General features: G+C 55.5%; 2 protein-coding genes, 1 non-coding gene and 1 pseudogene across 9 annotated transcripts, besides 11 other annotated features; 2 read left to right on the forward strand and 2 right to left on the reverse strand.

Moving 5' to 3' along the window:
- Positions 8-347: a silencer, noted in NCBI's record as "silent region_10080". NCBI's record gives its function as "represses an Ori minimal core promoter by ATAC-STARR-seq in GM12878 lymphoblastoid cells {active_cell/tissue: GM12878}" and the evidence as "EXISTENCE:reporter gene assay evidence [ECO:0000049][PMID:35858748]".
- On the forward strand, positions 232-9,746 carry ATG4D (autophagy related 4D cysteine peptidase). Of its 5 annotated transcripts, none has more exons than NR_104024.2 (10): positions 232-653; positions 1,111-1,194; positions 1,285-1,458; positions 3,167-3,399; positions 3,517-3,581; positions 5,232-5,362; positions 8,225-8,303; positions 8,373-8,449; positions 8,533-8,652; positions 9,213-9,746. NR_104024.2 is itself a non-coding variant. In NM_001281504.2 (10 exons), the coding sequence occupies exons 2-10, from the start codon at positions 1,065-1,067 to the stop codon at positions 9,393-9,395; spliced, it is 1,236 nt and encodes a 411-aa protein (NP_001268433.1). In that variant the 5' UTR covers positions 232-653; positions 1,037-1,064; the 3' UTR covers positions 9,396-9,746. The 5 variants fall into 5 exon arrangements, 3 of the variants coding, with proteins under 3 accessions (NP_001268433.1, NP_116274.3, XP_006722990.1); NM_001281504.2 differs by having other exon boundaries at positions 1,037-1,194; positions 3,167-3,443; NM_032885.6 differs by having other exon boundaries at positions 3,167-3,443.
- Positions 398-577: a silencer, noted in NCBI's record as "silent region_10081". NCBI's record gives its function as "represses an Ori minimal core promoter by ATAC-STARR-seq in GM12878 lymphoblastoid cells {active_cell/tissue: GM12878}" and the evidence as "EXISTENCE:reporter gene assay evidence [ECO:0000049][PMID:35858748]".
- Positions 623-1,218: an enhancer, noted in NCBI's record as "H3K27ac-H3K4me1 hESC enhancer chr19:10654971-10655566 (GRCh37/hg19 assembly coordinates)". NCBI's record gives its function as "activates a minimal SCP1, AML or CMV promoter by ChIP-STARR-seq in naive H9 embryonic stem cells {active_cell/tissue: H9 hESC(naive)}" and the evidence as "EXISTENCE:reporter gene assay evidence [ECO:0000049][PMID:30033119]".
- Positions 7,361-7,420, reverse strand: RNU7-140P (RNA, U7 small nuclear 140 pseudogene; annotated as a pseudogene).
- MIR1238 (microRNA 1238) lies at positions 8,450-8,532 on the forward strand. Its single transcript, NR_031603.1, has one exon. It is a non-coding gene; the product is annotated as a microRNA 1238 (primary transcript).
- On the reverse strand, positions 9,413-22,338 carry KRI1 (KRI1 homolog). Of its 3 annotated transcripts, NM_023008.5 has the most exons (19): positions 22,234-22,338; positions 22,045-22,118; positions 21,257-21,362; positions 19,057-19,165; positions 18,119-18,173; positions 17,995-18,044; positions 17,497-17,593; positions 17,331-17,408; positions 16,640-16,776; positions 16,138-16,264; positions 15,941-16,036; positions 15,687-15,857; positions 14,492-14,567; positions 14,300-14,388; positions 14,097-14,223; positions 13,880-14,010; positions 11,613-11,677; positions 11,415-11,513; positions 9,413-10,609 (listed from the first exon to the last, which is right to left on the reverse strand). In NM_023008.5, the coding sequence occupies exons 1-19, from the start codon at positions 22,325-22,327 to the stop codon at positions 10,279-10,281; spliced, it is 2,112 nt and encodes a 703-aa protein (NP_075384.4). In that variant the 5' UTR covers positions 22,328-22,338; the 3' UTR covers positions 9,413-10,278. The 3 variants fall into 3 exon arrangements, with proteins under 3 accessions (NP_075384.4, XP_011526492.1, XP_047295188.1); XM_011528190.3 differs by lacking the exon at positions 22,045-22,118; XM_047439232.1 differs by lacking the exon at positions 22,234-22,338 and having other exon boundaries at positions 22,045-22,218.
- Positions 10,408-10,577: an enhancer, noted in NCBI's record as "active region_13975". NCBI's record gives its function as "activates an Ori minimal core promoter by ATAC-STARR-seq in GM12878 lymphoblastoid cells {active_cell/tissue: GM12878}" and the evidence as "EXISTENCE:reporter gene assay evidence [ECO:0000049][PMID:35858748]".
- Positions 10,598-10,647: an enhancer, noted in NCBI's record as "active region_13976". NCBI's record gives its function as "activates an Ori minimal core promoter by ATAC-STARR-seq in GM12878 lymphoblastoid cells {active_cell/tissue: GM12878}" and the evidence as "EXISTENCE:reporter gene assay evidence [ECO:0000049][PMID:35858748]".
- Positions 10,678-10,757: an enhancer, noted in NCBI's record as "active region_13977". NCBI's record gives its function as "activates an Ori minimal core promoter by ATAC-STARR-seq in GM12878 lymphoblastoid cells {active_cell/tissue: GM12878}" and the evidence as "EXISTENCE:reporter gene assay evidence [ECO:0000049][PMID:35858748]".
- Positions 21,443-22,010: an enhancer, noted in NCBI's record as "H3K27ac hESC enhancer chr19:10675791-10676358 (GRCh37/hg19 assembly coordinates)". NCBI's record gives its function as "activates a minimal SCP1, AML or CMV promoter by ChIP-STARR-seq in primed H9 embryonic stem cells {active_cell/tissue: H9 hESC(primed)}" and the evidence as "EXISTENCE:reporter gene assay evidence [ECO:0000049][PMID:30033119]".
- Positions 21,759-21,808: an enhancer, noted in NCBI's record as "active region_13978". NCBI's record gives its function as "activates an Ori minimal core promoter by ATAC-STARR-seq in GM12878 lymphoblastoid cells {active_cell/tissue: GM12878}" and the evidence as "EXISTENCE:reporter gene assay evidence [ECO:0000049][PMID:35858748]".
- Positions 22,011-22,578: an enhancer, noted in NCBI's record as "H3K27ac hESC enhancer chr19:10676359-10676926 (GRCh37/hg19 assembly coordinates)". NCBI's record gives its function as "activates a minimal SCP1, AML or CMV promoter by ChIP-STARR-seq in primed H9 embryonic stem cells {active_cell/tissue: H9 hESC(primed)}" and the evidence as "EXISTENCE:reporter gene assay evidence [ECO:0000049][PMID:30033119]".
- Positions 22,011-22,608: a biological region, named in NCBI's record as "H3K27ac hESC enhancer GRCh37_chr19:10676359-10676926".
- Positions 22,079-22,608: a silencer, noted in NCBI's record as "silent region_10082". NCBI's record gives its function as "represses an Ori minimal core promoter by ATAC-STARR-seq in GM12878 lymphoblastoid cells {active_cell/tissue: GM12878}" and the evidence as "EXISTENCE:reporter gene assay evidence [ECO:0000049][PMID:35858748]".

Consider the following 22,710-nt stretch of genomic DNA (forward strand, 5'->3'; position numbering starts at 1 on the left):
ACTAGGGGCGGGGCCAGGGGCAGGGGTTCCCCAGCTCTGCTGCCTCCGATAAGGGCCTGAAGGGGCTGTCGCGCTCCTGGCGGTGTGATAAGGAGGGCGGGGGGAGGCCGCGGGAAGGCGTCGGGGTTTGAGGTCCCCGCCTGGCGACCCGGGATCGGGGCAGGAAAGGCGGCTGGGCGGGGAGAGGGCGGGGCGGGGCGTCTGGCTTGGCCACGCCCACCGTCATCCGGGGTCCTGGCCCGCTAAGATGGCGATGGCTGCGGTAGCAGCGGCGGCGGCTGTTGCCTGGCCCGGTACCCTGGGGACGGGGGCCGAGTAGCGCCTTCCCCGGGCCCCGTGAACCGGCTGCGGGTCGCCCTTGGGGGGCAGCGGCCGCAGCCCCCCACCTGGGCCCTCGGTCCGCCCTCCCGGCGCGTCCATGAACTCAGTGTCGCCGGCCGCCGCGCAGTACCGGAGCAGCAGCCCGGAGGACGCGCGCCGCCGGCCCGAGGCCCGCAGGCCGCGGGGTCCCAGAGGCCCAGACCCCAACGGCCTGGGGCCTTCCGGAGCCAGCGGCCCCGCTCTTGGCTCTCCCGGGGCTGGCCCGAGTGAGCCGGACGAAGTGGACAAGTTCAAGGCCAAGTTCCTGACAGCCTGGAACAACGTCAAGTACGGTGAGGAGGGGGCCCGGAGATCGTGGGGGTGTCGGGGGCCGTTGAGGAAAACCAGACCCCGGTCCTGCCAGTTATCCCACCCTTGTTCCCGTCCTGAGTCACCTGTGGGTCCCCTCCCTGCCCGGCCCAGGGTGGACCTGTGGCAGGTCCAATAGTGTTTTCAAGCCCCGCCCATTCCCCTGTGTGACCTTGGGCAAGATCCTTTGCTTCCTGGCGCCTCCGTTTTTGCCCCTCTCTGTAAAATGGGTACAATAATCAGAACTACCTTCCTTCATCCTGAATTGATGGTGGACACTCCTGTAGCTGTCACTGGGGGCCCCACCTCCGACGGAATCCCCGGAGCCACCCCGGAGATAGGAACTAGGATCGTGCCCATTTCACAGATGGGGGAATGGAAGCGCTGTTGCTGTCATGCAAGTGCTTCATCTCGCTGGGCGCTGCCCCTACGTCTCCCCAGGTTGGGTGGTTAAAAGCCGGACCAGCTTTAGCAAGATCTCCAGCATCCACCTCTGTGGCCGCCGCTACCGTTTCGAGGGCGAGGGTGAGCTGGTGGTTGGGACCAGGGCTGGGGGAGGCCTCTCCACGCCCGCCGGAGTGTCCCTGGTGGCAGCTGACAGACCCGCTCTTGTAGGTGACATACAGCGTTTCCAGCGGGACTTTGTGTCCCGCCTGTGGCTCACATACCGCCGGGACTTCCCGCCCCTTCCTGGGGGCTGCCTGACCTCGGACTGTGGCTGGGGGTGCATGTTACGCAGCGGCCAGATGATGCTGGCACAGGGCCTTCTGCTGCATTTCCTGCCCAGAGGTGAGCCATAGGGGGGAAGGGGTGCACTAGGAGTACAGGGTCAACTGCCATATCAGCAGTATTAGAATTACTTACCAACTAAGAGTTCAAAGTCACGTTAGAATTGTGTGTCAAGTAAGTTTTGGAGAGATGAGAGTTGTTTATAAGAGTTTCAGCCGGGGTTGGAAACGGTGGCTCATGCCTGTAATCCTAGCACTTTGGGAGGCTGAGGCGGATGGATCCCTTGCGGTCAGGAGTTCAAGACCAGCCTGGCCAATATGATGAAACCCCATCTCTACTAAAAATACAAAAATTAGCCGGTTGTGGTGGCACACGCCTGTAATCCCAGCTACTCCCGAGGCTGAGGTGGGAGAATCTCTTGAACCCAGGAGGCGGAGGTTACAGCAAGCCAAGATCGCACCACTGCACTCCAGCCTGGGCAACAGAGGGAGACTCTGTGTCAAAAATAAAAATAAAAAAAAGTTTCACCAGGCACGGTGGCTCATGCCTGTAATCCCAGCACTTTGGGAGGCTGAGGCTGGTGGATCATGAGGTCAGGAGTTCAAGACCAGCCTGGCCAAGATGGTGAAACCCCATCTCTACTAAAAATACAAAAATTAGCTGGGTGTGGTGGCAGGCACCTGTAATTTGGCAAGGTAAAGCAGAGAATTGCTTGAACCGGGGAGGCGGAGGTTGCAGTGAGCCGAGATCCGTGCCACTGCACTCCAGCCTGGGTGGCAGAGCGAGACTCAGTCTCAAAAAAAAAAAAAGAGTTTTGGCTGGGCACTGTGCTGCATGCTTGTAATCCCAGCTACCTGGGAGGCTGAGGTGGGAAGATTGCTCGTGCCCAGGTGTTCAAGTCTGCAGTGAACTATGATCCTGCCACTGCACTCCAACCCGAGTGACAGAATGAGACTCCAACAATAACAGGTCGAGTGTGGTGGCTCATGCCTGTAATCCCAGCACATTAGGAGGCTGAGGCAGGAGGATCGCTTGAGCATAGGCATTCGACACCAGCCTAGGCCACATGACAAGGCTCCTGTCTCTACAAAAAAATTTTAAAAATTAGCTGAGTGTGGTGGCATGTGCCTGTGATCCCAACTACTCAGGAGGCTGAGGCGGGAGAATCTGTTGAGCTCAGGATTTAGAGGCTGTAGTGAGACGTGATTGTGCCACTGCACTCCAGTCTGGATGACAGTGAGATCCTGTCTTTATTTATTTATTTTATTTATTATTATTATTATTTTTTTTTTTGAGACTGAGTCTTCCTCTATCATCCTGGCTGAAGTGCAGTGGAGAGATCTTGGCTCACTGCAACCTCTGCCTCCCAGGTTCAAGCGATTCTCCTGCCTCAGCCTCCTGAGTAGCTGGGATTACAGGTGCCCGCCACCACGCTTGTCTACTTTTTGTATATTTTTTTTTTTATCAGAGAAGGGGTTTCACCATGTTGGCCAGGCTGGTCTCGAACTCCAGGCCTCAAGTGATCCACCTGCCTTGGTCTCCCAAAGTGCTGAGATTACAGGCATGAGCCACCGCGTCTGGCTGAGATCCTGTCTTTAAGTAACAAAAAATAAATAAATAAATAAGGATAAGTATATGTTTCAGGAATATGTAAATTCTGTTGAATTACGGGGTTCAGGAGCATTCGCATTGTGTGCGGTGCATGTGTAGATGGGACCTCTGCCCCCCACACACTAGCACTGTTTGACTATGTGCTCCATTCCACCAGACTGGACATGGGCCGAGGGCATGGGCCTGGGCCCCCCTGAGCTGTCAGGGTCAGCCTCTCCCAGCCGGTACCATGGGCCTGCCCGCTGGATGCCCCCACGCTGGGCCCAGGGTGCCCCTGAGCTGGAGCAGGAACGCCGGCACCGGCAGATTGTGTCCTGGTTCGCCGACCACCCCCGGGCCCCCTTTGGCCTACACCGGCTGGTGGAGCTTGGGCAGAGCTCAGGCAAGAAGGCAGGTGACTGGTATGGGCCATCGCTAGTGGCACACATCCTCAGGTGAGGGCTGCTGCAGGGATCACGGGAGTTGCTGGGTACCCGCAGGCACTCAGGCCTTCCCTCCTGCCCCCAGGAAAGCCGTGGAGAGCTGCTCCGACGTCACCCGCCTGGTGGTGTACGTTTCTCAGGACTGCACAGGTAAGGGGCTGGGAGCCAAGATCACAGGGGCCCCACCCTGAGCCAGACTCTGCCTTACCCGATTCTTAGAGTGCATCTTCCTCAGAGGCTGGAACAAGTTGTGGGGCAGAGGGACACTGGGGAAGGATGCAAGGCCTGTGCAGTGGGAGATAGTCCCTCTTCTCCGTCTCTCCCTCTGGAACAAGAAACTTCAGGGGCTTCTCCTTGAGTGATAGAATAGAGACATAAGGCCAGGTGTGGTGGCACATACTGTAGTCTCAGCTACTTGGGAGGCTGAGGTGGGAGGATTGCTTGAACCCAGGAGTTCGAGGTTACAGTGAGCTGTCATTATGCCATTGCACTCCAGCCTGGGCGACAGAGTAGGATCCTGTCGAAAAAAAAAAAAAAAAAAAAAAGAGGCCAGGCGCAGTGGCTCACGCCTGTAATCCCAGCACTTTGGGAGGCCAAGGTGGGTGGATCACCTGAGGTCAGGTCACTCTGTCACCCAGGCTTCAGTGCAGAGGCACGATCTCGGCTCACTGCAACCTCTGCCTCCTGGGTTCAAGCGATTCTCCTGCCTCAGCCTCTCAAATAGCTGGGATTACAGGCACGCACCACCATACCAGGCTAATTTTTCTATTTTTAGTAGAGATGGGGTTTCACCATGTTGACAAGGCCGGTCTTGAACTCCTGACCTCAGGTGATTCGCCCACTTTGGCCTCCCAAAGTGCTGGGATTACAAGCTTGAGCCACTGTGCCCAGCCCCTGTAATTTTTTTTTTTTTTTTTTTTTTTTTTTTTTTTTTTTTTTTTTTTTGAGACAGAGTCTCACTCTGTCACCCAGGCTGGAGTGCAGTGGCACAGTCTTGGCTCACTGCAACCTCCGCCTCCTGAGTTCGAGTGATTCTCCTGCCTCAGCCTCCCAATAGCTGGGACTACAGGCGCGTGCCATCACGCCCAGCTAATTTTTTTTGTATTTTTAGTAGAGTTGGGGTTTCACTGTCTTTGCCAGTATGGTCTCTCGATCTCCTGACCTCATGATCCCCCCTCCTCGGCCTCCCAAAGTGCTGGGATTACAAGCTGGAGCCACCGTGCCCGGCTACCTCTGTAAATTTTTTATGCAAAATTGTAGGTGTTTGGGAAAAGATTCGATTTTCAGAGAACCTTATCTCCAAAATGGGTCTAATCTACTTCTCTAGGAGCACAAAATGGGCTTACGTAGCTGCAAGGCAGGGGGCAGGAGAATGGGCCCAAGTAAATGGGACTGGAGGAGGAGGGACATACCAGGATATTTGGTTTAGGGGCTGAGTGCCCAGTGCTCCAGCTTCTGTATTGGCAAACCGAGGCATGGAGTCACTGAGGACCTGTCAGGCATGGGGCTGGGGAGGAGCTTGAGAGAACAGTCTCTACCTCTCCCTTCTGTATATACTTTTGGTCTACATCCCAGGGCCTCAGTTGCCCACTCTGTAAAATGGGGATGTCCACACCTGCCTGGAGGTCCTGGGATTTTCTGGGGGTGTTTGGGGGGCACTAGAATGATGATTTTGGTTAGTGATGACAGTGTTGCCCTCTGAGAAATTGCACGGTTGAGGTTGAGCCCCTGGGGTTAGAGGGCTACGCTGGGGCTTGAAGGGTGGCAAGAAGGTGACCTGCTGCTGTCCCGTCCCTCCAGTGTACAAGGCGGATGTGGCACGCCTGGTGGCCAGGCCAGACCCCACAGCCGAGTGGAAGTCTGTGGTCATCCTGGTGCCCGTGCGACTGGGTGGCGAGACTCTCAACCCCGTGTATGTGCCCTGCGTGAAGGTAGGTTCAGCTGAATTCTAGGACACCTCCACCTGGGAGCCCTCCAGACTTGTTTAGTTTGTGTTAGGGCTGCTGTTTGTGCAGCCCTCATCACTTTTTTTTTTTTGAGATGGAGTTTCGCTCTTGTTGCCCAGGCTGGAGGTCAATAACGTGATCTCGGCTCGCTGCAACCTCCGCCTCCTGGGTTCAAGCGATTTTCTTGCCTCAGCCTCCCAAGTAGTTAGGATTACAGGCATGCGCCACCACGACCACCTAATTTTGTACTTTTAGTAGAGACAGGGTTTCACCATTTTGGTCAGGCTGATCTTGAACTCCTAACCTCAGGTCATCTGCCCACCTCGGCCTCCCAAAGTGCTGGGATAACAGGCGTGAGCCACCACACGGGCCATCCCTTTTTTTTTGAGACAGAGTCTTGCTCTTTTGCCCAGGCTGGAGTGCAGTGGCACAGTCTTGGCTCATTGCAACCTCCGCCTCCCGAGTTCAAGCAATTCTCCTGCCTCAGTCTCCCAGGTAGCTGGGACTACAGGCGTGTGCCACCACGCCCGGCTAACTTTTGTATTTTTAGTAGAGACGGGGTTTCGCCATGTTGGCCAGGCTGGTTCTCAAACTCCTGACCTCAGGTGATCCACCCACCTCAGCCTCCCAAAGTGCTGGGATTACAGGTGTGAGCCACCACGCCCGGCCCATCCCTTCTTTTTTTATACTATGCAGCACCTGCTATGTGTGCTCCCCACTGTCCCGACTGCTGGGGATTCAGAGGGGAACAGAATAGGCAGGAGTTCTGAGTGTGCCTGCTGGGAGCAGACGTTCTGATGGGAGGATGCTCAGCAGTGGCTATGTAACCAAAGTAGCATCACTGTTTGGAATGAAGCCAGGCACAGTGGCTCAGGCCTATAATCCCAGCACTTTGGGAGGCCGAGGCAGGAGGATCATTTGAGACCAGTCTGGGCAACATAGTGAGACCCCCATCTCTACACAATTTTTTTTGAAAATATTCGAGTCTCACTCTCTTGCCCACGCTGGAGTGCAGTGACACCGTCTTGGCTCACTGCAACCTCCGCTTCCCAGGTTCAAGCAAATTTCCTGCCTCAGCCACCCAAGTAGCTGGGATTACAGGTGTATGCCACCACGCCCGGCTAATTTTTGTATTTTTAGCAGAGATGGGGTTTTCCCATGTTGGCCAGGCTGGTCTTGAACTCCCGACCTCAGGTGATCCACCCACCTCGGTCTCCCAAAGCGTTGGGATTACAGGCATGAGCCACTGCACCCAGCCTCTACACAACTTTAAAAAAACAGTAACCCAATGAAGGGCAGATGAGGGTAGCAGCAGAGCCTAGAAAAGCGCCTCTGCAGCCACCAGGCAAATGAGGAGCCAGAGGAGAAGTGCTCCAGGCAAAAGGAACAGCAAGACAGAGACCCTGAGGCTGGAAAGTCCCCTATGTATTTGCATCCGAATAAAAGCCAGTTTTCCCAGTGACCCACAGAGCCCGGCACTATTTGTCCACACCACCTTCTTGATGTCGGGATATCCCCCACCTTGACCTCATATCCTCCTCCCACACTCTGCTGCAGCCACAGGGGCCTCCTCACCTATTTCAGACACTCCCACCTCAGGGCCTTTGCGCTTGCTGCCCCTGCTGCTTGGAGCACTCTTTCAGCAGTGATGCATGTGGCTTTTTTTTTTTTTTTTTTTTTGAGACGGAGTCTTGCTCTGTCACTCAGGCTGGAGTGCAGTGGCATGATCTCAGCTCACTGCAAGCTCCACCTCCTGGGTTCATGCCATTCTCCTGCCTCAGCCTCCCGAGTAGCTGGGACTACAGGCGTCCGCCACCACTCCTGGCTAATTTTTGTATTTTTAATGGAGATGGGGTTTCATTGTGTTAATCAGGATGGTCTCGATCTCCTGACCTCGTGATCCTCCCGCTTCGGCCTCCCAAAGTACTGAGATTATGGACATGAGCCACTGCTTGGCTCCTGTTTTAAAATATTTTTTGCGTGGGGGGTTTTCCAGTGAGAACCAGAAAACCTGAGACAAATTCTAAAAGAGCTGTAATGTTTGACCTCTTTACTTAAAATCACAAGGCTCCCTTCCCTCTTTTATTCTTTTCCATATAGTTATCACCTCTAACACATGAGATAAATCATGTAATTGGCTGGGCGTGGTGGCCCACGCCTGTAATCCCAGCACTTTGGGAGGCAGGTGGATCACCTGAGGTCAGGAGTCCAAGACCAGTCTGGCCAACATGGTGAAACCTCGTCTCTACTAAAAATACAAAAATTAGCTGGGCGTGGTGGCGGGCGCCTGTAATCCCAGCTGCTCGGGAGGCTGAGGCAGGAGAACTGCTTGAACCCAGGAGATGGAGGTTTCGGTGAGCCAAGATCGTGCTACTGCACTCCAGCCTGTAATCCCAGCACTTTAGGAGGCCGAGACGGGCAGATCACCTGAGGTTAGGAGGAGTTCCAGACCAGCCTGGCTAACATGGTGAAACCCCATTTTTACTAAAAATACAAAAAATTAACCCGGGTGTGGTGGCGGGTGCCTGTAATCCCAGCTACTTGAGAAGCTGAGGCAGGAGAATCGCTTGAACTTAGGAGGCGGAGGTTGCGGTGAGCCAATTGGGCCACTGCACTCCAGGCTGGGTGACAGAGTGAGACTCCGTCTCAAAAAAAAAAAAAAAAAAAAAATTCATGTAATCATCTTCCTTGTTAGTCTCTCACACTAGGATGTCAGCTCCTGAGGGCAAGGGTTTTGTGGTCTTGATCACTGCTGCCCTCCAGAGGCTGGGTTCTCACAGAGGAGGTGTTTGCCAAGCGTTTGTTGAGTGGCTGCCTGACAGCACCTGCCTACCCTCCTCCCTGCAGGAACTCCTGCGTTGCGAGCTGTGCCTGGGCATCATGGGTGGGAAACCGCGACACTCACTGTACTTCATTGGCTACCAAGGTAGGCCCACCCCCTCCTCACTCCTCCCACCCCCCACCGCACCCCCACTCACACCTGCACCCCCTGCAGATGACTTCCTGCTGTACCTGGACCCTCACTACTGCCAGCCCACTGTGGATGTCAGCCAGGCCGACTTCCCCCTGGAGGTGAGTGGGAGCCCCAGTGTGTGGTTGGGGCCATGGCGGGTGGGCAGCCCAGCCTCTGAGCCTTCCTCGTCTGTCTGCCCCAGTCCTTCCACTGCACCTCGCCCCGCAAGATGGCCTTTGCCAAGATGGACCCAAGCTGTACCGTGGGCTTCTATGCTGGAGACAGGAAGGAGTTTGAGACACTCTGCTCAGAGCTGACCAGGGTGAGCAAGAGGAAAGCTGGAGTGGGGTGAGGGGGGCGGTTGGGCAGGGCTGGGGGTGAAAGAGGAACAGAGGCCTCGAGTCCAGCAGAGCTGGGGTGCTGCTTCCAGGCTAGGGGTCCTAACCTGGGAAATGTGAAGAATGTCCACCCCTGAAAAGGTGGGAACGCCAAAGCCCACTGTTAAGGCATCATCCCTTGGAGGCAGCTGTATCCAGGGGCTCAAGTGGTGGGAACCCTCCCTGTCTCTTGGCCCTGCTGTCCGACCAGGACTCTACCCTTATGGGGGCGAGAGATGGCCACCAGCCATTCTGGGCACCCACCCTGTGGTCACTGGAAGGGAAACGCAGGTTTTGCAGCAAAAATCCCAGGACTGTCAGTCTTTGGCTGAGCTGGGTCACATGCTCATGGCTGAGCCAATCACTGTGGCCAGGGGATGGAAGGTGCTGATTGGCTGCTCTCTCCTGGAGAGGTGGTCCTGAGAAGCACCTACTAAATAAACCTGGGCTAAGGAATATGGCTTGGCACTGTTTGTGGCTGACCCTGTCTCCCTCTTCCCGCCAGGTCCTCAGCTCCTCCTCAGCCACAGAGCGGTACCCCATGTTCACCCTGGCCGAGGGCCATGCTCAGGACCACAGCCTGGACGACCTCTGCTCCCAGCTCGCCCAGCCCACACTCCGGCTCCCTCGCACAGGGCGGCTCCTCAGGGCCAAACGCCCCAGCTCTGAGGACTTTGTGTTTTTATAAAGGGAGGGGATGAGGGGAAAGATACAACACTATTTATTTTTTTATTTATGTCATGTCGGGTGTGGGATCTTGAGCTCTGGCAGTGATGATGGTACTTCCTGTTGTCAGCCCCTCAAGCCCAGCTGCAACCAGTCTGGGGCCATTCAGCCAGGGACAGAGCCCACAGAGCCCATACACCTGTCTCCCACCAGCGGGGCCCTCCTGGCAGGGTAGGGAAGGAGGACCCCGGGCACCCCCCTCAGGGCCTGACTCACGTACTGTAGTTTGCACTGGACGCCCGGGCCCTCCCTGTCCCAAAGCCCCCTTGGGGGAACTGTGGCTGCTGGGGGCCAATAAAGCTGTGTAACTTGATCGTGGGTGTGGCTGGGCGCAGCGTTCTGAGGGGATGTGGGGTCTGGGAGGTGTCTCGAGGTGAGAGCTCCAAGTCACGGGAAGTTTAAGTCAGCCTCAGTTTCCACATCCATAAAATGGGACGACTTCCTTACCCACAGCTACACGTGTTTTTTAATTTTTTTTTTTTTTTCAAGAGACAGGGTCTTGCTTTGTTGCCCAGGCTGGAGTGCAGTGGTGCAATCATAGCTCTCTGTAGCCTCAAACTCATGGCCTTAAGTGATCTTCCTTCCCCAGCCTCCTGAGTAGCTGGGACTACAGGCATGTGTCACCACATTTTGTAGAGATGGAGTCTCGCTAAGTTGCCCACGCTGGTCTCCAATTCCTGGGCTCAAGTGATCCTTTCACCTCGGCCTCCCAAAGTGCTGGGATTACAGGCGTGCCTGGCCACAGATGAGAGGATCTCTGCAGCAGATAGTACTTGTGGGTGCGAGACCTGTCCAGGGCTTGATTTGAGGAGAGGAGCCTGAGGCCCCTGCCTGCTCCCTGGTGCTCAGGAGCTGTTCTTGGGCCCCTGTTGTTTCCTCCGCTGCCGGCCCAGCTGGCGGAAGTGCAGCCGTTTGGGGTTGAGGCCAAAGGCCTGCAGTCTCTGGCGGCTGAACTCGCATCCACCAAGCATCACAGTGGGGCCCAGCAGCCGTGCCTTCTTGGCCCTCCTCCGCTTCTGGGGGGCTGGCTTCTTGTGGGGTGATACAGGGGCTTCCTCTTCCTGTGCTGGGGGACTCTCCGGCCCCATCAAGCTGCCATCAAGGGCTGGCAGCTGCCTCTGTGGGCCGGCTTCATCTCTCTGTGGCTTCCCTGTGGCTTCCGCAGGTGTCTCTGCCCTGAGGGAGAAAAGTCAGGGCTCAGCCCAGGCCTGTCAAGATCAGGCCCATTCTTGAGCACGCATGCCCCATTTTACAGACAGGGAAAGGAGGGGCATAGTGAAGCAGCCGCACAGCGACCGAGGGCCTGCCTGGGATTCAGACCTGGGTTTCAGGCCAAAGCCAGCGCTTTTCTACGGAACCCAAAGACTAGATTGTGAGGCTGAGGATTCTGGTATTTGTGCCTGGGCCTGCCCTAAGCTAGTCACATCAATTAACTCATTTTAGCCTTTTTCTTCCTTAGAGACAAGGTCTTGCTGTGTCGCCCAGGCTGGAGTGCAGTCGCGTTACCATAGGTCACTGCAGCCTCCAACTCCTGGGCTCAAGCGATCTTCTCGCTTGAGTCTCCCAAAGTGCTGGGATTATAGGTTGGAGCACACACCTGGCCTCATTTTAGCTCTAAATAAACTGTGTGCATCTATCACCCCTGCCTTCTAGACTGGGCGAAAGCAATCCTAATAACAGCTAAGACCTATGGGGCATTTACCATATCTTAATCACTTTACGAGAATTAACTCATTTCATCCTCTGCAACTTGATAAGGCAGAACCGTCTCTATCTCCATCTTATGAGAAAGAGGCCCAGAGAGGGGTAGCGACTTGCCCAAGGTCACACAACGTTGGTGCCCATATAGGATTCGAACCCAGGTCTCAGAGCGGGGGGCGCTGCATTCCCAAAGTCATGCAACAAGAGGTTGACGGAGCCAAGACTCAAGCCTGGGCCTGACAGGCTCCCCACCCACGCTTCCCCAGCCAGCACTGCTTACTCTTCTCGGCAGAGTGACTTGAAGACCTGCCGCTTTTTCCATGAGTTCTGGGCCTTCTGGCTGTACGCCCGCTTGTCCCGCAGCTCCTCCTGCTCTGACCTGCAGACAGATGCCCCTGTGTTGGGTGCTCTGGGAAGTGCCCGAGGCTGCCCGCCCTGCCCCCTGCGCATGTGGCCCCGCCGCGCCCCGCCCCATCACCTGTACATGCAGGTCTTCTTTAGGGAGCACCACCGGTTCAGCTCCTTATCGTCAGCAGCGAGGATCTGCGTGGGAAGGGAGAGTGGGGACCTGCTGTGATATTGCCCAGGCGGGGCCTTCCCTGAGCCTAAGTCATGTCATTAGTCAAAACGGTAATGCCGCTACCACCCAGCAGGGTTGCCATGATGGCCAGAGACAGCTGATCTCTACAGAGGCCAATGATTTTTGTAGAGGTCAGCAGATGGGGTAACTGAGGCTCAGAGAACGGATCCTTGCCCTAGGCCAGATGGCTGGGAAGTTGGCTGAATTGATTCCAGTTTGAGCCTCAGGGCCCTTGAGCTGTCACCCATACCCGGCCATCCCCAAAGCCTCAGAACGGGCAGGGGTCGCTGCCAACCACCAGGCTTCCTAATTACATATGAAACTGTCATTCCCAGCCTCTAGGCCTGTTTCCAAACCTACTGGAAGGCCATCAGAAAGAGGAAGTGATTGAATGCCGATGGTATAAGCTTAGTACACATCGGCTATTTTTACTGACCATGAAAATGGTCGTGCACCTTCAGCCGTCATCAGTCAGGCATAGTAGGTACCCACAGCCTGCCAGGTGCCACACACTTTGGTCTCATTTCTGTTCCTTCCATAGTCACCAAAGTTGGGGTGCTATCAATTATTGTCTCACTTTACAGATGGGGAGTTGAGGCACAGATAGGGGAATCATTTGTCCAAAGACTCAGCTGGTGAGCAGCCAAGCCAGGGCTTGAACCCACCTAGGCCCCCTGGTTCCAGAGGACACCAAGTCTTTTGTTGAGACAGGGTCTCACTATGTCACCCAGGCTGGAGTGCAGTGGCAGGCTCACAGCTCACAGCAGCCTCAACCTCCTGGACTCAAGCAACCCTCCTACCTCAGCCTCCCAAGTAGCTAGGACTAGATCTCCCTATGTTGCTCAGGTTAGTCTCAGAACTACTGGGCTCAAGTGATCCTCCTGCTTCAGCCTCCCAGAGTACTGGGATTACAGGTGTGAGCCAGTGTGACCAGCCCTGCTACCAAGTCTTACCAGCCAGACTGCTGCTAATACATACTGACAGGAATAAAATAATATTGGCTGGGCCTGGTGGCTCACACCTGTAATCCCAGCACTTTGGGAGGCTGAGGCAGGCAGATCACATGAGGCCAGGAATTTGGGATCAGCCTGGCCAATATGGTAAAACTTATCTCTACTAAAAATACAAAAATTAATTGGGCATGATGGCACATGCCTGTAGTTCCAGCTACTTGGGAGGCTAAGGCAGGAGAATCATTTGAACCTGGGAGGCGGAGTTTGCAGTGAGCTGAGTTTGCACCACCGCATGCCGGCCTGGGTGACAGAGCAAGACACTGTCCCAATCAACCAATCAAAAAATAAACAAAAATAAAAAGTAATATTGGCTGGGTGTGGTGGCTCACACGCAGAATCCCAGCACTTTGGGAGGCCAAAGCAGGAAGCTTGTTTAGGCCCAGGGAGTTCGAGACCAGCCTGCACAACACAGTAAAACATCATCTGTACAAAAAATATTTTTAATTAAAAAAAATTAATTGGGCATGGTGGCACATGCCTGTAGTCCCAGCTACTTGGGAGGCTGAGGTAGGAGGATCAATTGAGCCCAGGAGGTTGGCACCACTGCACTCCAGCCTGGGTGACAGAGCGAGACTATGTCTCAAAAAAAAGAAGTAATATTTACGGGGCGTGCCATAGGTGAGGCACTGTTTTAAGCCCCCACCTTGTAGAAGGTAGTAATATTACCTTTGAGGTGAGGTAATGTTATTAGCACTGTCATTAGGACTATTAGCATTTCTTTTTTTTTTTTTTTGGCGCTCTGTCACCTAGGCTGGAGTGCAGTGGTGCAATCTCGGCTCATTGCAACCTCTGCCTCCTGGGTTCAAGCGATTCTCCTGCCTCAGCCTCCCAAGTAGCTGGGACTACAGGCGCCTGCCACCATGCCTGGCTAATTTTTTTGTATTTTTAGTAGAGACGGAGTTTCACCACGTTGGCCAGGCTGGTCTCGAACTCCTGACCTCAGGTGATCCACTTGCCTCGGTCTCCCAAAGTGCTGCGATTACAGGCATGAGCCACTGCGCCCAACCGAATATTATCATTTTCAAGATGAAGAAACAGCCTGCCATGTTGTGGCATTTCTGAGCAACAGAGATTGGGACTCAGGGCCAGCTTTCTACCCCTTCGGCATACCTGGTGCCCCCTGCAGTGTCCCTGCCTGCCCGGGGCCCCTACCTCCTCAGTGCTGAGGCCAAAGTCACAGGGCACCACTGTGCGGTACTTGAAGCGACAGGGCAGGTCGTCGATGATGTCCTCGTAGTCCAGCCGGTAATACTCATCCAGGTACTCCTCGAACGTCTTGTCCCCTGCTCGAGACAGAGCCAGGCTGCTGGGCTATGCCAGGCCCCGCGGTGCCCCCTGCCTACCCACGGCCTGCCCACCTGGGCCTCACCGGGTTCAAACACGGGCTTCTCCTGCCCCACGGCCGCGGCGAAGGGCGACTTGCGCTTCTTCTTGCCCGTCAAGGGGGCCTCGCGCTTTTTCTTCCTCGGCTGGCTGGGGTCGTAGTCGGCGTCCATCTGCCAGGACGCACAGGTCAGATCCCACCAGCCCCCCGTCAGGGCCCCTGGGACTCCCTCAACCCGTGATACCTACGTTGAAGTTGGGGTCCTCACAGTGCAGCTCCTGCTGGCTCCAGTCTCCCTCCTGCTCAGGCCCGTCCCACGTGTCCCAGTTCCAGTCGTCTGGATGCAGGGAGAACAGACAGGTGGGGCCAGGGTGGGACCTTGGGCTTCAGTCCCAGTCCCCAGTCCCCAATCCCCAGCCCAGTGCCCCAGCTGATCTCACCTTCAAGCCCTTCTTCTTCCTCAAATTGTGGCTTCTCCTCCTCCACGGCCCCGTAGTACTCGTCCCCAAAGCACTTCTGCAGGGTCAGGGCTGGCGGTTACCAGAGCCCACTCGAGACATAGGAGCTGAGCCCCCTACGATGCCGCCAATGACCCCCTCCTTGGCAACTTTACTCCTACAGCTAGGGCTCCCTACAGCCCTCCCAGCACCTAGCTCCTGAGGTGGGAGGCCCTGCATGTCCAGGATCCTCCGCCAACTCCCCTGCTGTCTACCCTGTGATGTACTGGCCGCCATTCAGTTCCACATATCCACAGTTCTTCGCCGTCCTACCCACCTTCGCCCCTGTGGTGCCCACCACCTGGTGCACTACTCAGGCCCCAGGTCTTTTTTTTTTTTGAAACAGAATTTCGCTCTTGTTGCCCAAGCAGGAGTGCAATGGCACTATCTCGGCTCACTGCAACCCTTGCCTCCCGGTTTCAAGCGATTCTCCTGCCTCAGCCTCCGGAATAGCTGGGATTACAGGCATGTGCCACCACGCCCGGCTAAGATCTTTTTTTTTTGAGACAGCGTCTCACCCAGTAGCCCATGCTGGAGTACAATGGCGAGATCTTGGCTCACTACAACCTCCACCTCCCGGGTTCAAGCGATTCCCTGCCTCAGCCTCCCGAGTAGCTAGGATTAGAGGTGCACGCCACTACACCCTGGCTAATTTTTTGTATCTTTAGTAGAGATGGGGATTCTCCATGTTGGCCAGGATGGTCTCAATCTCCTGACCTCGTGATCCGCCTGCCTCGGCCTCCCAAAGTGCTGGGATTACAGGTGTGAGCCACTGCACCCGGCCAGGTCTTTTTTTTTTTTTAAAACAGAGGCTCCCTCTGTCGCCCAGGCTGGAATGCAGTGGCATGATCTCGGCTTACTGCAACCTCTGCCTCCCGGGTTCAAGCAATTCTCCTGCCTCAGCCTCTCAAGTAGCTGAGATTACAAGCATACACCACCACACCTGGCTAATTTTTGTATTTTTAGTAGAGATGAGGTTTTACCATGTTGGCCAGGCTGATCTCGAACTCCTGACCTCAGGTGATCTGCCTGCCTTAGCCTCCCAAAGTGCTGGGATTACAGGCGTGAGCCACCGTGGCCAGTGAGAGCCATGTTTGTGTGAACTCAGCGTCATGTTGGGCCGGGATGAGGGCCGCACCTGCATGAGCTGGTCGTGCTGGGCAGGGTCGAAGTCGTCTTCAAGGTCCCCCTCCTCGAGGCCCAGCATCTCGTTGCCTGTTACTTTCCGCAGCTTCTCCAGCTTGGCCAGAATCTCCTTCCTCTTCAGGTTCTTCAGCTGCTTGAGCTCTTCCTGCTTCTTTGCTTTCTCCTGCAGGCCCAGGCAGAGAGGGGGAGGGCATGGGCTTTCCTCCAGGGCTGGGGGGTCCTCCCCAGCTCACCCCCCACACTCACCCTCTTCTTTCGCTCCCGAGTCTCTTCCCTCTTCTCCTTTCTGCGCTCATCCTTACGGCGCACGGAGGACGCGATGCTGCGTGGGTAGGTCTTGACCTAGGCGCAATCAGAAAAGCCCACAAGGGCCGCAGAGATGATGTGGGGTTCCCTGGGCCTGAACCCTGGGGGCTGAGTCCTCCCCAGCCCCAGCCACACACCGATGCTGAGTCCGGCTCCTCGAAACGGAAATTGTACTTCTGTTCAAAGTCCTCCTGTTTCTTCAGAAACAGCTCCCCTTCGTCTGAGGAGTCGTCCACAGCCAGCTGGACTGGGGGACCGTGGACCCTGAGGGGCAAGATGTGGTGATGCCAGGGGGCCAGCCAAGTGAGGTCGAGCCCCCCTTTCCTGCACGCCTGGGTACGAAGCGTATGAACTCATTTAATCCTCACAAGAACCCTACAAGGTGCACGCTGCTATTGTCCTCATTTTACAGATGGGGAAACTGAGGCATGAAAGTCTTGAAGCCGAACCAGGATTTGAGGCAGTGCCACCTGGCTCCAGAGCCTATACTCTGTGGCTCTGCCTTACAGAAGACTAACTCTGCCACCATCTGTGAAAAAAATACACACATGGTGCCCTCTGCCTCCTGGCCAGTGCCGCCTGGGAATACTTCATGAAGCGCACCCAAAATCTAGGTCCTGGGGAGATGCAGTGGCTCACCCCTCCTCTTCCTCCATTTCCTCTTCATCTTCCTCCTCCTCTTCCTCCTCCTCATAGCGTTTGTTGAGGATGTAATCCCGCAGGAACCGCTCCCCTTCATCCAACTCAGGGTCGTTCCAGTATTCCTTGAGATGCGTCTGGGGGTGACAGGAGACAGGACTCTGGTCAATGGAGGACAGGGAAGGAGGGCAGGCATGCTCACCACATGGACCTCACAGCCAGCCTCTGGAGTAGGTGACATTAGCCCCATTTTGGTTTCTTATTTTTATTTCGAGACAGGGTCTTACTCTGCCATCCAGGTGACAGTACAGTCGTGTGATCATAGCTCACTGCAGACCCAACCTCCCGGGCTCACAAGATCCTCCCACCTTAGCCTCCCAAGTATTTGAGACTACAGGTGCATGCCACCATGCCTGGCTAATTTTTTCATTTTTTTGTAGAGCCATTTTGCTATGTTGCCCAGGCCAGTCTCAAACTCCTGGCCTCAAGCAATCCTCCTGCCTTGACCACCCAAAGCACTGGGATTACAGGTGTGAACCACGGCACCCAGCCTATCCCCATTTAAAGAGATGTAGGAGCTGAGGCCCAGAGATGTACATATCCCATCTTCAGAGGGTTACTTTCTGTAAATAGGTTGGATGGACGCGGAACACGCGGTCTACTCCATCAGCGACCATGCGTGAGAACTCACCAGTTCCTTCAGGGAATCTGGGTTCCGAATCTCTTTCTGTCCCTTCAGCCACTCGATGTAGTCGGCCTCCTCCTGGGCCTGGGGGAAAGCTAGCACTGAGCATCCGCAGATGCCCAGCCACCCGCCACCCTGTCCCCCAGCAGTCCAGTCAGGCCCCAGTACCCACCTTCTCCTGCCTGGTTTTGGCACGTTTCTGCAGCAAACTGGAGCCGCCCTCCCCAGCGCCGTCCTCGTCCTCACTGTCCTCCACAAATGCCCGGAAGCTGCCCACGAGAGAAAACAAGCCTCAGGACAGGCAGGCTGGCCCCTGTCTGCTGCCCCAGTATTTATTTTATTTTGTAGAGCTGGGGTCTCACTATGTTGCCCAGGCTGATCTTGAACTCCTGGGCTCAAGTGATCCTCCCTCCTCTGCCCACCAAAGCCCTGAGATTACAGGCATGAGCCACCTCACCTGGCTGGCTGCCCCAAGATTAACCCCATTTACTAAGCCCTGAGCTCTCCTCTCAACAAGCTCAGAGCAGTGCTGTGATGTTATTAACCCCGTTTAACTGATGAGGAAACTGAAGCACATAGAAAGTGACAGAGCTCAATTTGAACCCGTGCCTATCCAACCCCCGAGCCTCAACTTTCCTCCATTGGGCCATTCCCGCCCACCCAGCCTCACCTTTCCTTGAGCTGTTTCTGTTCCTCCACATAACTTTGCGACGATGTCTCCTGCAGAGAGGGCCATAGGTCTCAGGCCAGCCCCAGGCCCCTCAGCCCCCCGACCCAGCCTTCACCCCACCCACCTGGAGTCTGTGATTGGAAGTCTCCCCGTCTGAGTTCTCCTCATCAACATATTTGCTGTAAAGGAAAAGTGGGGTCTTCAGAATATATCTTCCAGGGCCCGCCTGTCCCCATGCCCATGCGGAGCAGCTATTCCAAGCAACAGCTGGCGGGGGTCATCGGAGGGCTATGGAATCACTGAGACTCCTGCTCTCAGGGCTATCTGCGATTCTGGTGAGTTTCCAGCGTTTTTTTTTTTTTTTTCTTTTCCAATCATGGGTGACAGCATTTCTTTTTTGGAGCCAGGGTCTCGCTCTATCCCTCAGGCTGGAGGGCAGTGGCATGATCTCGGAAAACTGCAACCTCCACCTCCCAGATTCAAGCGATTCTCCTGCCTCAGCCTCCCCACGTAGCTGGGACTACAGGCGCCCACCACCACATCTGGCTAATTTTTGTATTTTTAGTAGAGACGGGGTTTCACCATGTTGGCCAGGGTGGTCTCAAACTCTTGACCTCAGGTGATCTGCCCGCCTCAGCCTCCCAAGGTGCTGGTATTACAGGCATGAGCCACCATGCCCGGCCTTTTTTCTTTTTGAGACAGGGTCTTATTCTGTTGCCCAGGCTGGAGTGCAGTGGCCTGATCATAGCTCACTGCAGCCTCCATCTCCTGGCTCAATCCTCCTGCCTCAGCCTCCTGAGTAGCTGGGACTACAGGTACACATCATCATGCCCAGCTAATTTTTAATTTTTTTGTAGAGGCGGGGTATGTTGCCCAGCCTGGTCTCAAACTTCTGTCCTCAAGCGATCCTATTGCCTCAGCCTACCAAAGTGCTGGGATTATGGGCATGAGCCACCATGCCCGGCCCAGGCTGCCAGCTTTTTTCCCTCTCCTGCCCCTAAGACCCCCATAGACCTGACAGGGCTGGGAACCAGGGGGTGGGGATGTAGGCCTTCTCCATACCCTGCCTTCTCCAAGATAACCTTCCTCTCGTAGTCCTTCAGGTACATGGGCCGCACTTTCTTCTGCTTCTCCAAGGCTTCTGGGTCCTCCTCACTGTCTGATGACGATGCTGTTAACCCACCAAAGACACCTGCCATCACCCACAACCCCCTTCTTTGCCGTGGCAGAGAATCCCACAGGGCAGGGCCAGGGTTAGACAGAGGATTCAAATCCCAAATCCACCAATTCCCAGCTGTCCAAGAGTATTGTGCTTGTCACCATCTGGTGGGGTTGGGGTCATTCAGTCAGTAATTCCTGCTTTGATTATTATTATTGTTGTTATTATTTATTTACTTATTTTTTTTTGAGGTGGAGTCTCATTCTGTTGCCCAGGCTGGAGTGCAATGGCATGATCTCGGCTCACTGCAACCTCTGCCTCCCGGGTTCAAGCTGTTCTCATGTCTCAGCCTCCCAAGCAGCTGGGATTACAGGTGCCCACCACCGCGCCCGGCTAATTTTTATATTTTTAGTAGAGATGGGGTTTCTCCATGTTGGTCAGGTTGGTCTCGAACTCCTGACCTCAGGTGATTTGCCTGCATCGGCCTCCCAAAGTGCTGAGATTACAGGCGTGAGCCACCGCACCCGGCCATTATTATTATTTTTTTGAGACAGAGTCTCACTCCGTTGCCCAGTGCATGGCGTGACTTGGCTTACTGCAACCTCCGCCTCCCAGGTTCAAGCGATTCCCCTGCCTCAGCCTCCTGAGTAGCTGGGATTACGGGTGTGCACCACCACGCCCAGCTAATTTTTGTTATTTTTAGTAGAGATGGGGTTTCACCATGTTGGCCAGGCTGGTCTCGAACTCCTGACCTCAAGTGATCCTCCCGCCTCAACCTCCCAAAGTGCTAGGATTACAGGCATGAGCCACCATGCCCAGCCTGATTAATTATTATAATTAATTTTTTTGAGAGTTGGAGTCTTACTCTTGCTCAGGCTGGAGTGCAGTGTCAACATCCTAGCCCACAGCTCACTGCAGCCTTGAACTCATGGGCTTAAGCAATCCTCCCACTTCAGCCTCCCAAATACCTGGGACTATAAGCGCACACCAGCATGCTCAGCTGAGTTCTGAATCTTTTGTAGAGATGGGGTCTTGCCGCCAGGCACAGTGGCTCACGCCTGTAATCCTAGCACTTTGGGAGGCCAAGGCGGATGGATTACCTGAGGTCAGGAGTTCGAGACCAGCCTGGCTAACATGGTGAAACCCCATCTCTACTAAAAATAACAAAAAAATAGCTGGGCGTGGTGGCACGCACCTGTAATCCCAGCTACTCCGGAGGCTGAGGCAGGAGAATCGGTTGAACCGGGGAGGCGGAGGTTGCAGTGAGCCCAGATCATGCCATTGCACTCCAGCTTGGGCAACAAGAGCAAAACTCCGTCTCAAAAAAAAAAAAAGAAAAAAGAAAGAAAGGCTGGCTGGGCGCAGTGGCTCACGCCTGTAATCCCAGCACTTTGGGAGGCCAGGGTGGGCGGATCACCTGAAGTTGGGAGTTCGAGACCAGCCTGGCCAACATGGAGAAACCCTGTCTCTACTAAAAATCCCAAATTAGCTGGGCGTGGTGGCGCGTGCCTGTAATTCCAGCTACTCAGGAGGCTGAGGCAGGAGAATCGCTTGAACCTGGGAGACGGAGGTTGCAGTGAGCTGAGATCGTCCCATTGCAACCCAGCCTGGGCAACAAGAGTGAAACTCCATTTCAAAAAAAAAAAAAGAGAAATGGGGTCTTGCTATGTTGGCCAAACTGGTCTCAAACTCCTGGCCTCAATTGACCCTCCCACCTCAGCCTCCCAAAGTGCTGGGATTAGATGCTTGAACCACCTGCCCAGCCTGGTGGAGTTGGAATCATTCAGTCAGCAATTCCCACCTTGAATAGTGCCAAGGACACAGTCATTAACTCCACCACCAGGTAATAACCTAGGCTCTGCTAAGGACTTGTGACTTGTGAAGCAATTCATTCAATAGTCAAAACAGATGAACTGTGTAAACTGGGTAAATCCCAATCTATCCTTAAAACAGCCCTGAGGGGAGATGCTACCGTTAGATATACTTTACAGACAGGAAAAGAGGCTCAGAGAAGTCAAGTCACTTCTCTGAATCCACAGTCAGGAAAGGACCCCGGATTCTGCTCCAGAGGAAGGAGAGGTTTAGACAGGAGTGGCCCCGGACCTGTTCTGTTATAGAAGGTGGCATCTTTCTGATAAATGCGGGGGTCCTTCTTCTTCAACAAGGAGAGCGTTTTGTAAAAGTCCCGCTCCTGCTGGGGATCAAATTCCTAGGGCAGGAAAAGGGTTGGGGATAGATTTCAGAAGGGAGATAATAAGAGCCCTGGCGCCAGCAGGTGAGCTCAGCGTAGGGATTAGGATGGAGGGGGGTGGATCTGGCTGGGGAGGTCAAACAGGTGGTCAAACAGCAGGAGGGAGAGGGGCCCTCTTGGGGTGGGCAGGGGCAGGCCACAGGTAGGTACAGGATATGGGTAGAGGAAGGTGAGGGGCAAGGAGAAGGTAATTCCTGGGGAAGACAAAGACTTGACAAGGGGCAGGTGGGCTGAGGGCACAAGAGAGACAGCGGGGAGGGGCTGGGCCAGGCCGCACAGTGGGGCCAGGATCAGGGCTGATGTGAGAAGTTGGGCGCCCCACGTGGCGCAAGGAGTACACTAAAAAATGGCTAGACTCTTGAGGATGAAAGAGGAAAGGGGGGGTTCTTGGGGGACAGAGTCGCCCCACACATCAGAGTGGGCAGGTGGGGATCGTGGCAGGGGAGAGAAAATAACGGGGATTTGGCTCCCCTGGGGAGAGGGGGGGCACTGTCTGTCCCTCATGGGATGGGGAGCGGAGGATGGGACGCTCCCGCAGGGCGCTCTGGGGTTGGGGGTTCCCCCCCGTCTACATCGGGGTCGGGGTGCAGAGGGGGGCTTGGACGCCTCCGCACGTCCAGGACGGGGCGGGGACGCGCACCACGCGCTCGTCGCTTGAGTCCGACTCGGAGCTGGAGTCGCTGCTGCTGTCTCGGTCCCCGTAGCGATCCTTCACTGCGGGACACAGACGGGATGCCCCCCCCCAGGTCAGCCGGCGGGGCCACTCGACTCCCCACTTCCCAACCGGCCGGCGCGCGCAGGCTCCCGCGCGCATGCGCCCCGCACTCACGCCGCTGCAGTTCCTCGCGCTCCCGGTAGCGGTTGTACCGCGCGGCAAACGCCGCGTTCACCCGCAGCTGCGACGACCCGCGCGGTTCCGGCATGGCGGTTCTGTGGCCCATTGCGCACGCGCATTGAGGAAGCCCTGGACGGGGCGGGGCCGCCCTCAGTCCCGCCCGCATCCACTTGTAAACGAGGCGTACCGCTGCTAACCCCGCCCCTGGCTTTTCCGGGATCCCTTTCGCCTCATCACCGCAGTCACCGCCCACGGCTACGCCCCTGCGGGGAAGGCCGCGGCCACCGCCCACCCGCCCCACCCCCTGTGCTCCGGGCACCCAGCTGACATCTGGGGGCCCTTTCTCCACTCGCGGTTTCCTGCTTCCCTTCCGTTCCGACAGCGAAAACCGCTGCCCCACCCAGCTCACTCACCCTGGCGCCCTGGGAATTACTATTCTCTCCCCTCACCCACCACATCCACGATCCGCGA

Source organism: Homo sapiens, chromosome 19, assembly GCF_000001405.40.
Source record: "Homo sapiens chromosome 19, GRCh38.p14 Primary Assembly".
NCBI classification, from domain to species: Eukaryota; Metazoa; Chordata; class Mammalia; order Primates; family Hominidae; genus Homo; species Homo sapiens.

What these genes read in the sequence shown, in the direction of transcription:
- ATG4D (NM_032885.6), top strand. Translation starts at nt 419, where the DNA reads ATGAACTCAGTGTCGCCGGCCGCCGCGCAGTACCGGAGCAGCAGCCCG. An exon ending in CTGGAACAACGTCAAGTACG is followed by an intron (nt 654 to 1,110) that starts GTGAGGAGGGGG and finishes ACGTCTCCCCAG; the next exon opens with GTTGGGTGGTTAAAAGCCGG. An exon ending in TGTATGTGCCCTGCGTGAAG is followed by an intron (nt 5,363 to 8,224) that starts GTAGGTTCAGCT and finishes TCCTCCCTGCAG; the next exon opens with GAACTCCTGCGTTGCGAGCT.
- KRI1 (XM_047439232.1), bottom strand. Translation starts at nt 22,218, where the DNA reads ATGCGCGCGGGAGCCTGCGCGCGCCGGCCGGTTGGGAAGTGGGGAGTC. An exon ending in CCAAAACCAGGCAGGAGAAG is followed by an intron (nt 17,409 to 17,496) that starts GTGGGTACTGGG and finishes GCTTTCCCCCAG; the next exon opens with GCCCAGGAGGAGGCCGACTA. An exon ending in AAGAAGACCTGCATGTACAG is followed by an intron (nt 11,514 to 11,612) that starts GTGATGGGGCGG and finishes ATCTGTCTGCAG; the next exon opens with GTCAGAGCAGGAGGAGCTGC.